The sequence below is a fragment of the Homo sapiens genome, chromosome 1 (assembly GCF_000001405.40).
Source record: "Homo sapiens chromosome 1, GRCh38.p14 Primary Assembly".
NCBI lineage: Eukaryota > Metazoa > Chordata > Mammalia > Primates > Hominidae > Homo > Homo sapiens.
Window position 1 is genome coordinate 168897829 of NC_000001.11, and position 14645 is coordinate 168912473.

A 14645-nucleotide genomic window follows, 5' to 3' on the forward strand; every position below is an offset into this window, starting at 1 on the left:
AAAAAGGTAACATACCCATGCAGATTATTGACAGTATGAAGTCATTCTTTTAAACTTTAGCTTGACCATGTAGCTATGCAGCAGTCCTTCTCTGAGACTCAAGTCAGCCCAATCCTATTACTCTACAGTAGCTCTTACAGATCCTTACCATTTTTTAGAAGCCACCTACCTACCACCCTCTCCATTATTCTTGGATGCCACAGCTCTCACCTACCGCATAGAGGCTTCTTGACTGCACCCTGCCCCTTCCCTCATGCCTTTAGAAACACTGCATAGCAGTGACCCCTGGGTGAAGCCCCTGTCACCTATGTAAGATCAGGAGGCAAAACCTTCAACTGATGACTTGGAGGATAAGAAGGAATGAGAATATGTTAAACTCAAAGTCATTGGACAGGATAGCAGCGAGATTCACTTCAAAGTGAAAATGACAACACATCTCAAGAAACTCAAAGAATCATACTGTCAAAGGCAGGGAGTTCCAATGAATTCACTCAGATTTGTCTTTGAAGATCAGAGAATTGCTGCTACTCATACTATAAAAGAACTGGGAATGGAGTAAGAAGATGTGATTGAAGTTTATCATGAGCAAATGAGGTCATTCAGTAGTTTAGGTATTCTTTTATTTGTTTTTCTTTTCCCTCAATCATTTTTTTATTTTTAAAATAGTTCTTTTGTAATGTGGTGCTCAAAATGGAATTGAAAACTGGCACTCCATCTCTTTAAAACATCTGGTAATTTGAATTCTAGTGCTCATTATTCATTATCATTTGCTTTCATTGTGCTGATTTTTGGTGATCAAGCCTCAGTTCCCTTCGTATTGCCCTCTCCTTTTTAAAAATTACATGTGTGCACAGAGAGACCACCTTTTTTAGGACTATGCATTTTCAGGCTTGTAGCAATAAGTAAGATCGACCAAGGCAAGTGTTTGTAAAGACTTCCCAATTGGCCCTAAAGTTCTAGCATGTGATTGCTTCACTCCTGGACTGTGACTTTCACTGGGAGATGTAAGCTTTTCAGAGAACTGAACTGTGGAAAAATGACCTTTCCTTAACTTGAAGATAGCTTTAAAATTAGAGTCTAGACCAAAAGAAGAGGAATAGCATATTGGAGTCAAGATGACAGATAAGGTGAGAGTAATGACTAACTCCAAAGATGGCTTCACTGAAAAGAATGCATTTTAAGATCTAAAAAATAAAAATCTTGTCAGAAGATTCCATCATCCTGAATCATAAATCAGACAATGTGACTCTCTTCCTGTCCTCAAGATCCTTCAACATAGCCATTGGAGGAGTATGATTATTTTTTAGTTATTGAAGGATTGTAAGGTAAAATAAAAGATGAATGGATGAAAATGGCTAGAATTTTAACATTGAATAATAAAATCCAAACTCGTTTGACAGTATACAAAGACATTTTTGAGCTCTTTGTCAACTTTCCCAATTATATCTCTCCACTTAGTCTTCATATTCTATGCCCCAGCCAGACTGAAATATTTGCAATTCCAAGAAAGTTCCACATGCCATCTTTGCCCCGTGCTGCTGCTCAGGTGAGTCTCTGTGTCTCCTGCTTAGTTTTTAGTTTTATTTATTAATAACCTTCCAAAAAAAAAAAGTCAATTAGTTTTCCCAAAGCTACGTGATCCCTCAAGAACCATGTGCATTTTTATATTACTTATCATATGGCATAATATTCTTCTACTCATTTGTCTGTCTCACCAAGTAAATGTTCCTTGTGAAAATACATCAGGCTTTACATCTTATATCTCTTTCATCTTTGAATCCATCACCAGCACCTAGCATAGTACCTGGTTAAAAGAGACTATCCAAAGAGTTGAAAAAAGAAAGAACAGGTAGATTATTCAAAATATTTGTATTTCTGTTTCAGTTATTTATTGTTGTTATAAGCCATCCTAAAATTTAGTGGCTCAAAAGAGCAATTTATTATTATCTCTTAAAGTTCTGTTAGGTTAACTGGGTTGAGCTGAGTCGTTCTTGCTCAGAGTCTCCCAAGTAGGTGCTAACAGATGGTGGCTGGGGTTGGAACCATTTGAAGGCCCAAATGAGTTTTATGGTCAAGATAGCTATACCATATGGCCAGTTATTGATTGGAAGTTCTGCTGAGACTGTCTCCTGAAGCTTCTATATGTGGTCTTTGGATGTGACTTGAATTTCTCACAGTATGACTGAAGTGTTTCAAGAGCATCCCAAGAGGAATGTTCCATGTGGCCCAGGGGAAAGGTGCAAGGTTTCTTATGACCTAGGCTTGGGAGTGCTGTAATATCATTTCTGCTTGATTGTATTGGTCAAACAAAAACTGAAGATCAGTCCAGATGTCCAGATAACAGGGGAGGGAAATTAGACTTCACCTCTTGATTTGGCAATTGTGCATATGTGCAGGGAAACAAGACACTGATGGTGGCCATCTTTGGAAACAAACTATCATAATTTGGAATGACAATTTTAAACAAGACATTAAAATGTGCTACTATCCAAGACCTTTTCCTCCATTTGGCTATTTCACTCTTGAGAAGTATTTCCACTTATGGGATAAACAGGATTATGTGAAAAGATTATCAATGAAGTACCTATCATTTCATCTATTCTATAAAAAGTTTGAACCTGAAGGTTAAAATAAGATTAGGAAATGACTTACGTGTTTCCATTGTCGTTTCACTCTTAGATGGCCCTTATAAACATTTGAGAACTGATGATAATACAAACCAGCCAATCCTCAATTTTTCTCCTTTTGACTTTACAATTCTATCATTTTGATCTAAAAGATTAAATTCAGAAAACACATTTCTTTTAGAATATTAATTCCTGTATAACTGGAACTTTTTCCTTTCTATAGTTTAAAATTACCTTCACTGCTGCCAAAAGGTGAACAAGTATCTATTGACTATGACAACAAAATAATACAGTGCTCTAGTAGTGACAGAATTATGTATTTAATGTCATTTATTTTTCATTTGGGAGTGAATTATCTAGTAGCCAGTGAACACTTCTCTGGTATAGAACATAGCTATTTAATTTTAAGATGAAAAGTAAAGAATCCATCATCCACTGAATGAGAACATATTAACACTTGGCTGTAGGATGGGACTAGATAGAAATGTGTTGCAATTGTAAAGGGAGAAGAAATAACATTTAAAACAGTCACTCTTTTCTTCTAAAAGAAATGGCCTAATTCAATATCAATTAATCTGTATAGTGCTTACTTTCCTTTATGCCAGAGAAGCGAAAGAAGAGAAAGAAAATTTCAAAGTTTCTGCAATTCTTCAGTGCCACTGAAATGTGAGATGGGAGTTGGTGGCTCATGCTAAGCAGACACCGAAGAGTCCATGGACAGGAGAGCACGAAGAAGAAAGATGAAGGTTCTGCCTATCACACGAGGACAGGGATCCCTCTCTTCAGCAAAGTGTCCCACAACTTGGGTAGCACCTGGTCATCTTTCATGCTTTGTCTCATCCCTTACTTTCCAAAATCCTCTTCAGCTTCTCTCTTCTGTGTTAATAGGGTGGAGACGTGGACAATGTAGAAAAGGATGTGTATCAAGGGAGGGGGCAAATAATGGGCTGTGTGAAACCCCTCCATCATCTCAAGCTTTCAGCAAAGTCTACCACACAAGCAAATGTCTTGTGTGAGTGAAGTTCTCAGGGGTAAAGAGACTGTGTTTCACATCTTGGACAATATGGTGCAGAAACAGCATTTGAGGAACAGCATATGCAGCAAGAAATGTTAAGGGGCATGTAAATATCATACCAATCACCACTTATTCCCTCCCTCCATCCTCCCTCTCAAAAGTACTTTTGGAAAGATTGGGAGGGATTCAAGGCTACTACAGCTTACAGGTTAGGGTTGAAATAAATCTCATTTTAATCTCAATAAGCAGGACAACTCAATCTACATGTAGCCTACAGTTTTTATTTAGATCTAGTTCTCTTAGGCTTTGTATTCCTAGAAGGCAGAGATTTGGGGATAATTTGCCTCTGATTCCCCATGCTTTGCTTACTAAAATGTATATACATGCTAAATGATGTTGTAGTTGCTAGAAGGAAGGAAGGAAGGAAGGAAGAAGGGAAGGAAGAGGAAGGAAGGAAGGAAGGATTTTATAGATTCTTTAAATAACTAGACAGAGAGTTTTTACTCCAAAGAGCAATTTTGAGCTCCAAGATACTAATTTATAAAAGATAAAAATAAGCGTGAAAAAAGTTTTCTATAAGTTACCGATGACAAATTTTAATTTTTAATTATACCAGGGGAAAGAAATGTCAGAGGCTCTTTTTAGTTAGGCAAGTTACCAAAGACATAGGTTATGAATAAATATTAATTGGTCTAGAGCTAAAATAAATTAGGTTAAGATAATTCTAAAAATGTTTATGTTAACAAAGACTCCAAACTAAAGCCCATCATGTTTATGCAACATTTATGCAAATATTTACAGCCTTTTCAATAGATAGTTTACTCCTGTGATATTGGAGTTTGTAAAATAATATTTTGCATGCAAATTATTTTATAGTTGGTTTATATAAACAGATTGGGGTTGGCTTGGTATAGCACTTGGGCTTATCTGTAGAGCAGCTATTAGAGCTATATACGGTTTTTGCTATCATCCAAGAACGTTACCTTCAATTAGTGAACGATATGACCCCAGTGGGATGCCATCTACTCAGGAGCATTGTAAAGCACTTTTAGATTTGACAATGGCCCCATAGAACTCACTCAATAGGATGGGCTGTACTTTAAACTCATAAAGCTCAAGGAAGAGAACACAGCTTCCTTGCGTTGAATCAATGGAGACAGCAGGTGCCAAAAGAAATTCAAGACTCAATGTACACATGAAATTTTTAATAGCATTACTTTCTATAAGGACAATAATGCTAAAGAATGAGTCAAGGCGGCCGGACGCGGTGGCTCACGCCTGTAATCCCAGCACTTTGGGAGGCTGAGGCGGGCGGATCACGAGGTCAGGAGATCGAGACCATCCTGGCTAACACGGTGAAACCCCGTCTCTACTAAAAATGCAAAAAAAATTAGCCAGGCGTGGTAGCAGGCGCCTGTAGTCCCAGCTACTCAGGAGGCTGAGGCAGGAGAATGGCGTGAACCCGGGAGGCGGAGCTTGCAGTGAGCCGAGATAGCGCCACTGCAGTCCAGCCTGGGCGAAAGAGCGAGACTCTGTCTCAAAAAAATAAAAAATAAAAAAAAATGTTTAAAAGAATGAGTCAAGGCAAGGTCATCCTTATGAAGATATCAAAACTACCCGCTCCAGATTAGTCTCTGTAAAATCACTTTTTTAAAAAGTTTATAACCGATATAGTTAATACCCCTCTTTCTTGAGTGCCTCAAAATTCTGCTTTTGATTCAGAAGACTTCTATGTCAGAGTTGCTTGTGTTAAGCTGCCCCATTTATTTTTCCTCAGCTATACTATATATTCCATCTCTTTCTGTGCTCTTAGACCCCAACTATTCTCTATTTCTCTAGATCATACCCAACCTTCAAAGAAGGTCCAGTCTCCCAGTCACCTCCTTATACTTTTCTCCAACACTGCCACCCTTAAGTGATTATTCCCACCTCCCAGTACCCATAACTGTCTGTGTCATTCATTAGTCATTGGGCAGAAGGCACGTTGTAAAGTAAGAATCTCAGCTTAAACCTAGGTGATGATCGCTGCTTTAAGACTCCCTGCCCAACTCCAAGGCTATGTCTACTGAGACCCTGAGAATCTGACTATGGTATGGAAGCAAGAATCTCAAAGTGCTTGCATCTTTTAGACTATTATTAGGCCTATCCTGTTTTCTTCTGGCACAATGCCAGAAAATAAACTTTCCCTTGCAAACTATTCATTCCCCTGCCTAGAGAGAGGCTAAATGAGGGTTTCAGCCATCCATCTTTACTCAACTTTTTTTTTTTGTCAAACTCATTATTATACATAATCAAAACTGAGCTCTTAAAAACCTAGGGTACTTAACATAACTATTATTAATCCTGAATTGTTTTACCCTAACTAGAATCATATAAGAAGTCTCACTGTAGACCATAAGGTCCTAGGGCTGGAAAGGAATTTAGAGTTTTATTACTCCAAATCTTTGTTTTATTAAAAGAGAAAATTGAGACCCAGAAAGAATTAAGAATTTACCCAAAGTTCCAAAGGGGTACAGTAATGGAGCCAGGTCTTAGATTTAGATGTCTTGATTTCAGTTTACTATACTCCTTTTATGCCTTTCTGCCTCTTCTCCTCTAGGGAATTCCCTAGGTAAATATATACCCCTTCTTCTTAAAAGAGGATTATCAGCCAGGCACAGTGGCTCATGCCTGTAGTCCCAGCACTTTGGGAGGCCAAGGCGGGCAGATCACGAGGTCAGGAGATCGAGACCATCCTGGCCAACATGGTGAAACCCTGATTCTACTAAAAATACAAAAATTAGCTGGGCATGGTGGCATGCACCTGTAGTCCCAGCTACTCGGAAGGCTGAGGCAGGAGAATCACTTGAACCCAGGAGGCGGAGGTTGCAGTGAGCTGAGATTACACCACTGCACTCCAGCCTGGTGACAGAGTGAGACTCTGTCTCAAAAAAAAGAGAGAGAGAGAGAGGATAGTCTTGGTCAATACGATTTTTGAACGTGACAAACTATCCCCATTTTCTTTGCTCTACCAGAGTTCTTGACAAAGAGCATAAAGGAATCCTGGAGGTGGTGAGATTAATTGAAGGACAGACTTGAGTCAGATAACACTACCTGCTCCTTCACAGCGTCAAATGGATTAAATGTGATAATGCAAACAGCCTAACACACATAATAGGTTGATATATGATGACTTGCTTTTTCCTGAACTCCAGAAATCAATTTCAATAATCAGGTGGGGAAACCAGCAGGGAATCCAATGTCTGGAACAGAAAAATGATGATGGTGGTCAAAATAAAATTTTCTGTTTTAAAATAAATGCACATGAATAAAAATATGAAAAATTGAAAATTCTAGCTTGGAGACTTATTTATTCTTTTAGGGTACCAGTCTTTTTATTATTACAGTGTAAGTGGAGAATGTTTCACCATGGACACAGTTGTGTATGCTAAATAGAGATTTTACATTGCTTGAGTTTCCATTCGAGTTTGGTTTTCTGAGCATCATGCCTAAGGGAACAGCCTGACAACTACATCATATCATTTGTGAGTTAACTTTTTAAATCTGAGTTTAACAAATGGAAATGAGATTTAGAAGCTAAAAGAATAAAGAGGCATAAAAATAGCAAGAAAGCCTTAACTCTGTGGCTCCAGATTATTCTGATGTATCGACTGACAAATTTTTCACTTTTCTAATTTATCCTCTTCTTTACTGTTTACTGACAAGAAAATTATTTCTATAGGAGATCTTTAAGATTCTTCATTTGTGTAGTAAGTAGATTACAACAACAAAACTGCAAACTCCTTAGAAGTAAAAGAAAATGTAGTTTTTCAAACATAGAGAAGTGAAAATAATGATGACTTTGAGCATCTATTTTGTGCTAGGTACACTCAGCTAGGTAATTCTGGATGTGTCATTGAGCCTTGCCATAATTTTTCAAGGCAAGTACTATTAATCTATTTCACAGAAGAGAGGCATAGAAATTAGTTGGCTTACCCAAAACACATGGATGATAAAGAGTGGAGCAGTCAAACCTGCCACTATAGGGCCCTGCCAATTCCTATGCAGCCTTCCTTAAAAGAAGCAATGGAAATATATTTAGCTTTAGAGGCAGGAGATGTAGGCTAGAACTCAGGTCTTTATTTATAAATGTTTGGAGCTTAGACAAGATAGATGGTTGTCTGGGCTTTAATTTCTTTATCTATAAAATGAGAATGCTAGCGCCTACCTCAAAGTGTGTTGTGAGGAATAAATGAATCCCTACAGTCTGTGAAAGTGATTTTTAAGCTGCTGAAAGCAACCAAAGGGAAGGTGTTTGGTGGTGGCTCTCTCAGTGCCTGCTACAATGATCTGCCACCTCCCACTCACCTTTCAGGATGGCCTTGAGGAGTTTGTGGACAGTGGATGCCAAGGTCAACACAAGCAGCAATGTGAGAAGATGAGTTACGAACCTTTTTAGGAGCTCTGAAAGGCTCAAGCACTCAATAAAATAGTTCTTAGAAATTTAGTTTTTCAAAAGCAACTAAAACAGCCTTGCAGAATTACAGAAGCCAGGAGAATATTTTCAAACCTTAGTTAGAAAATGAAGACCCTTGAGTAACTAGGCAGAAACTTTAATCGAATATACCCCATTAGATTTTCAGGAACGTATAGAAACTATGTAGCATAAAGGTTTATTTTTTCAGATAAGGAACATGAGATCTGGATACCATACTAATCAGTAGCAGAATTGGGACTAGAACCCAGGCCTCCTGGTTCTGAGTCTGTGCTACTATCTACTATATGAATTGCTCCTCTAAATGCATTCAAATGCATAGGAATGGCATTGACAACAAAGTTAATGACAAAGTATTAACTATTAAGGCCCACCAGTATGGACCTGGATGGGTTTGAACTTACCGTCTAACCTTGAGCAAGTTACTTCACATCTGTGCCTCAGTGCCCTCATCTGTAAAAAGTATTATGATAATGCCAATTTCATGGATTATTATGAAGGTAATGCACAGAAAGTTCTTAACACAGTGCCAGTCGTTGCTCATTTCTTAGTTATTGTATAATCATCAATCCTCTGCATGTCATCAAACCAGAATTATGACTACCTGTGCCTCTCCTTTTTAGGATAACAGCAAACGATCTGGGAGCCTACCAGGAGACAGCCTGGATGTAATTTAGGCAGATCCTGTCTGCTTCTTCCCATATTAAGCAGAGTTTGAAGCAATCATAACATGATAGGATGTGCCTTGATATGAGGGGATAAAAGGAGATGTAGCACTCATTCTGAGAATTTGAGCCTGAGTCCCAGTTTTTTCACCTACAAATGAGAATACTAATACTCGTTCTTTTTAACTTTGTGATACTCAAAACTGTCAGCTTCCATAAAAATTATAGACTATTCATTGTTATAGAAATTTAAAGCAAAAAGCAAAAATGCTGGTGGTTTTTCTTCTTGGTTTTATAAGCCACAGCCTCTCAGTGAAGTGGCTTTTTTACTTCCTTCTCACACTCAATATCTGGGGATTTAATGTCAGAAGTGGGTTAACATTTTATTAATTACATTTGATCTCATGGCCATGAACTTGGGTATTTGCTCACCTCTAACAAGGAAAATGTGGTCGTTGCCTTAGAACATGAGATCCTTTCTGAATAAATTGCGAAAGTCTTTTCAACAGCCTACTTGTTCTTTTTACATAGGAGCTTAGCTTTGGAATTACGTGAAAGCCACGCTAACCAGCTACCTGCTTTGTGTACTGTCCTAACAATTTGGCCTTTGATTTTATGCTTCTTTCAAAAGCATACAAGCAATAGGCAAACATTATTCATCAAACTGGTTTGATGACATTCTTTTGAATTTAGCTTTTTTTATTCTCCTATGGCACAGTCACATCTATTCTCAAGGCTATGATGACCCACGTGTGCTGAGGCCTCTGGGCAGAAGTGCCACATTAGAGCTTTCATTGGACAGATCAAGAGCTCCAGAGTTCCTGCTGGCTGCCTAAAGAAAGATATTTAGCATTTTCTCTGCGATTGCCTCCTTCCCTTGCCACAGTTTTCTCAGAGTTGTCTTAGAGGAAGTATTCATCTATATCTCTGTTAAGAGCTTTGATGCATAAGGACCCCGCTTGCAGGGGCTGTGAGGCTGCATCTGGCAGATGTGTTGATGTATAACTAGCAAAATGATTTAAGTTCAATCTGATCAATACTGTGGTTAGTATTAGCCTCACACTCCTCCTGTGCATCCTTCACCAAGCCCACAGTTTCTGCCCAGCCATGGTCCTTGAATCTATACTGCCTGATGTGGACACTTGTGTTAAGAATAGCTACCCTCAAAGGTACTCGCACTGTCACATTTTGAACTTCTCTGCCCTTTCTTCCTTTCCTCCCTCCCCACTCAATCCCCAACTTCACATACCCAGAAATCCTAGAAGCTTCCTCCCAGTAATCTCCTTGGAAGAAGCTGACCAGGCTCAGGGGAAATAAAGTAGTAGAGAAGTCCATATTGGCCTCTTCCTGTGGTTTCAGCTCTAAAAGGGAAACAAAAGCCCTAGTTGGAGACTGACCAGCTGTTTACCCACTTCACACACATGGTAAATGTTCTCTGCTGATAATTCTTGTTTCCATTTGACTAAGTGAGAATCCTTATGTCTAGGGATAAAGTGACTGACTCCAATGGGAGGTCACTTTCAGAAGAAACAGAAATAGATGGATTCCACAGCACTAACCAATGCTAATATTGGGTGTGTTAAAAATAAACATGTGTTTTCCCTCAGTGAAATACAACTTCCCCAACCATTTCTTTTTTCCTTTCTCTTTCTCAATATTTCATTAATGCAAACTTTTCCTAACTCAAAAGGTATTCCTGCATACAGATTGGTTTCCACTAAGAGAAGTATGTTTTGATAAAATTTACGCAAAGTGAGCACCATAAACATAGCAGCATAACATCACCTATGGTCATGCTGAGATTGTAACCAGTGAGGTAAATCTGAGCCAAAGACAGCTTTATATCTTTTAGTGGCTTTATTCCCTTTCAATTCAGTGGCTTGCTGAAATAGCTGTAATAATTAAACAGAGAACTTCTAAGCTATCTAGATTATATAAAGATAGGTGCTAAAAGTCACACTAGAGTGGGAAAAGTTTTGTGTGGCAATATGGCTAGGTTACTAAACTGCCTTATACAGAACCTAATGCAATTAGTACTTCTGACCATAGACTTTCCACTCCTTTTTAAAACAGTAATACTAGCAAAGAAGCAATAGAAAACAAAGAGATCACAATGGTAAACTCAGAGGTTCAGATATTTGCTCTGTCGCTTACAGTTTATATGAACTTGGACAGGTAATTGAACATTTCTGTGTTACTTTATTCATCTATAAACATGAATATTAGTAATACTTTTCTCTCAGGCCTGCTTTGAGGATATGAGAACACACACATGCATACATACATACATATACATCCATACTTACATACATAAACACACAGATATAGTAGTGCTCAAAAAATGTTGGATGTTGTTAACATTTGCTGCTATTAGGTTGGTGCAAACATAATTGTGGTTTTTGCATTGTTGGAATTTGCCATTTGATACTGGAATACATTCTTAAATAAATGTGGTTGTATTATACATCATTTTAATGCACATTTCTCACTTTATTTTATTTTATTTTATTGTTATTAGTTTTTGCTAATGACATACTACTTGCTGTTTATTTTATATTTATTTTAGACTATGGAAATGATGTTAGACCAAAAACAAATTCAAGTGATTTTCTTATTTGAGTTCAAAATTAGTGTAAAGCAGCGGAAACAATTCGCAAAACCAACGACGCATTTGGCCCAGGAATTGCTAACGAATGTACAGTGGAGTGGTATTCGAGAAGTTTTGCAAAGGAGAGGAGAGCCTTGAGGATACGAAGCAGAGTGGCCAGCCATCAAAAGTTGACAATGACCAGCTGAGAGTATTTATCGAAGCTGATCCTCTTAAAACTACAGGAGAAGTTGCTGAAGAACACAACGCCGACCATTCTATAGTCATTTGGCATTTGAAGCAAATCGGAAAGGTGAAAAAGCTTGATAAGTGGGTGACTCATGAGCTGAGTGAAAATTAAAAAATCGTCGTTTTGAAGGGTCGTCTTCTCTTATTCTATGTAACAACAATGAATCATTTCTCAATCAGATTGTGATGTGTGATGAAAAGTGAATTTTATATGACAACTGGTGACAACCAGCTCAGTGGTTGGATCGAGAGGAAGTTCCAAAGCACTTCCCAAAGCCAAACTTGCACCAAAAAAAAGTCACGGTCACTGTTTGGTGGGCTGCTGCCAGTCTGATCCGCTACAGCTTTCTGAATCCCAGCAAAACCATTACATCTGAGAAGTATGCTCAGCAAATCGATAAGATGCATCAAAAACTGCAATGCCTGCAGCCGGCATTGCTCAACAGAAAAGGGCCAATTCTTCTCTCAACAATGTCTGACCACATGTCACACAACCAATGCTTCAAAAGTTGTACAAATTGGGCTATGCAGTTTTGCCTCACCTGCCATATTCATCTGACCTCTCGCCAACCAACTACCACTTCTTCAAGCATCTTGACAACTTTTTGCAGCAAAAACACTTCCACAACCAGCAGGATACAGAAAATGCTTTCCAAGAGTTTGCCGAATCTGGAGGCATGAATTTTTAGGCTACAGGAATAAACAAACTTATTTCTTGTAGGCAAAAATGTGTTGATTGTAATGGTTCCTATTTTGATTAATAAAGATGTGCTTGAGCCTCATTATAATGATTTAAAATTCATGGTCCAAAACAGTAATTACTTTTGCACCAACATTTCTTGTGTTCTTATTATGCACCAGTACAGTGCTAAGCATTTTACATGTGTAAATTCAGTTATTTCTTACAACCACTCAAAGATGTAAATAATATTATAGGCTCTTCCAAATGATGGAGATACTAGGGGCCAAGTTTGCTAGACAACTTGCCTTAGGTCACACAGTTAATAAGCAACATTGGGGCTCAGGCCTTATTAGAGCACCTTACTAGACACTCTGGATTGCCTCCCCACTGTTGAATGCTAGACAAAGGACTCACTGCCCAGGCTGCCATTTGCAAGTAGCCGGCCATTCTGTCTATAGCGTTGAGTCATCAGAGTATACATATGGACATGCAAACACCAAAACATCTGAACTATTTGGTGTGTCTACCTCCCATTTATTCAATAATTCATTCAAAAGCATTTATTGACAGCTTGTTCTATGCCAGGCTCTGTGCAAGTTCTGAAGGGTCCAGAGATGACTGAGACAAGTCCTTGCCCTTGGGAGCATTCCAACTCAAGTCAGGGGAACAGAAGTATTAAAAACAATTATACGTGGCTGCCTGCTACCTAGCGCTGTGCCCTCAAATAAAAAGGAGGCTTCCAAGGTGAACTGAACCAATGCCCAGCCCTATGCCCAAAACCCTCAAGGTAAGAATTTTCTTCTTCAGTTCATCTTCCTCAACTGATAATTAGTCCACACATAGAGAGTCACTTTTACCAGTAAGCTATTCCACTGTGAGGGTTTCAATTTCCTTCGTGTAGCTAGAGCTATTCCCAAAGACAAGTCTTCTCATAAGCAACCAGCTCCCCATAGGAATCCAACATTTTCCATAATCTCTTCCATTTTTTATTATATCTTTGAGGTGTTACTTAGCTGAACAAGAAAAGCAGTTTTGCTTATGACTGGGTCTTCGCTTAGATTGAAATAGGGAATCCTCATTGTTTTATCTTGACACCAAGGGCTTAAGGATCTTAGGCCCTTGCAGACTATAAAAATGTCACTAGGAAATTAAAATCTTAAAGATAAAAATAGTGGCATAGTTTTATTTATTTTTCCATTCTATAAATACTTATTGAACATGTAAAATGAGCCAGGTGCTTGACAGGGAATAAGGAATACAATAATATACAATGGTAAAATGGTCCTTCCCTTTAGACTTACAATCTGGTGAATGAGACATAGAGAGATGGAAAAATTTGAAGTACTATTAATATTAATCAGTATAGAGCAGGATGCAGTCACATGAATGGTAGGGGAGATAGACTGTTTAAGACATGGGGATAACATGTGCAAAGGATCAGACATAAAAATGTGCAAAGAACACTACAAAGACTAAAAGGAAAACAATGTTGTATGGCTAAACATGAAATAAAACCTGAAATATGGCAAGACATAAAACTGGATATTTTTTTCTGGTGGGAGATTTAACATGCTCCAGGCCTCAGTTTTCTCATTTTCAAAACAAGAAAGGTTGGGAGGCCAAGGCAGGTGGATCACTTGGTCAAGAGTTTGAGACTAGCTTGGCCAACATGGTGAAACTCCATCTCTATTAAAAATATAAAAATTATCCAGGCGTGGTGGTGTATGCCTGTAATCCTAGTTACCTGGGATGCTGAGGCAAGAGAATTGCTTGAACCTGGGAGGTAGAGGTTGCAGTGAGCCAAGATTGTGCCACTGCACTCTAGCCTGGGCGGCAGAGCGAGACTCCATCTCAAAAAAAAAAACAAAAAACAACCAAGAAACATGTTAACTGTGTACATAAAATACCTTCCAGCTTAAGTTAAGTGACATTAGCTTCCCTACAACCACGAATGAATACCCTGAGGACCCTCATCCTCACTGCCTATTAGAGGGGCAGCTGTTTTTCATGAATGAATCTGCAGGAATAGTACCATCTGATTCAGTGTTTTCTTTGTGAGACATTCTCTGAGAATAGACTTTTTTCCAACAAGACACATAATTTCCATATCAATAAATGCATTTCAGTTCCTTAAGGAGAAAGGCTTTTTTCCTAAAAAAAGACCAAGATGTCCAAAGGGATGACAAAAGTTGAGTAGTTCTGTCTTATGTGGCCAGCGAGGGCAAAGAGCAAAATAGAAAAAGTGCCATCAGTAAGATTCAGAGCAAGCCCACTTAATACAATGCCATCTGTCCAGTGGTTGATCAATAACACAGACCTAAAAGAGGAGAGCTGGGTCTATACTGG

General features: G+C 38.5%; 1 long non-coding RNA gene and 1 pseudogene across 1 annotated transcript in view; one reads left to right on the forward strand and one right to left on the reverse strand.

Annotated features, from left to right (window-relative positions):
• On the forward strand, window positions 269–1216 carry SUMO1P2 (SUMO1 pseudogene 2; annotated as a pseudogene).
• Window positions 6077–14645, reverse strand: part of LINC00970 (long intergenic non-protein coding RNA 970) — a 183101-nt gene continuing 174532 nt past the window's right edge. Inside the window, exons 4-5 of the long non-coding RNA NR_104091.1 lie at window positions 10031–10142; window positions 6077–6884 (exon numbers count right to left, since the gene is read on the reverse strand). This is a non-coding gene — a long non-coding RNA (long intergenic non-protein coding RNA 970). The remainder of the gene's footprint in view (window positions 6885–10030; window positions 10143–14645) is intronic.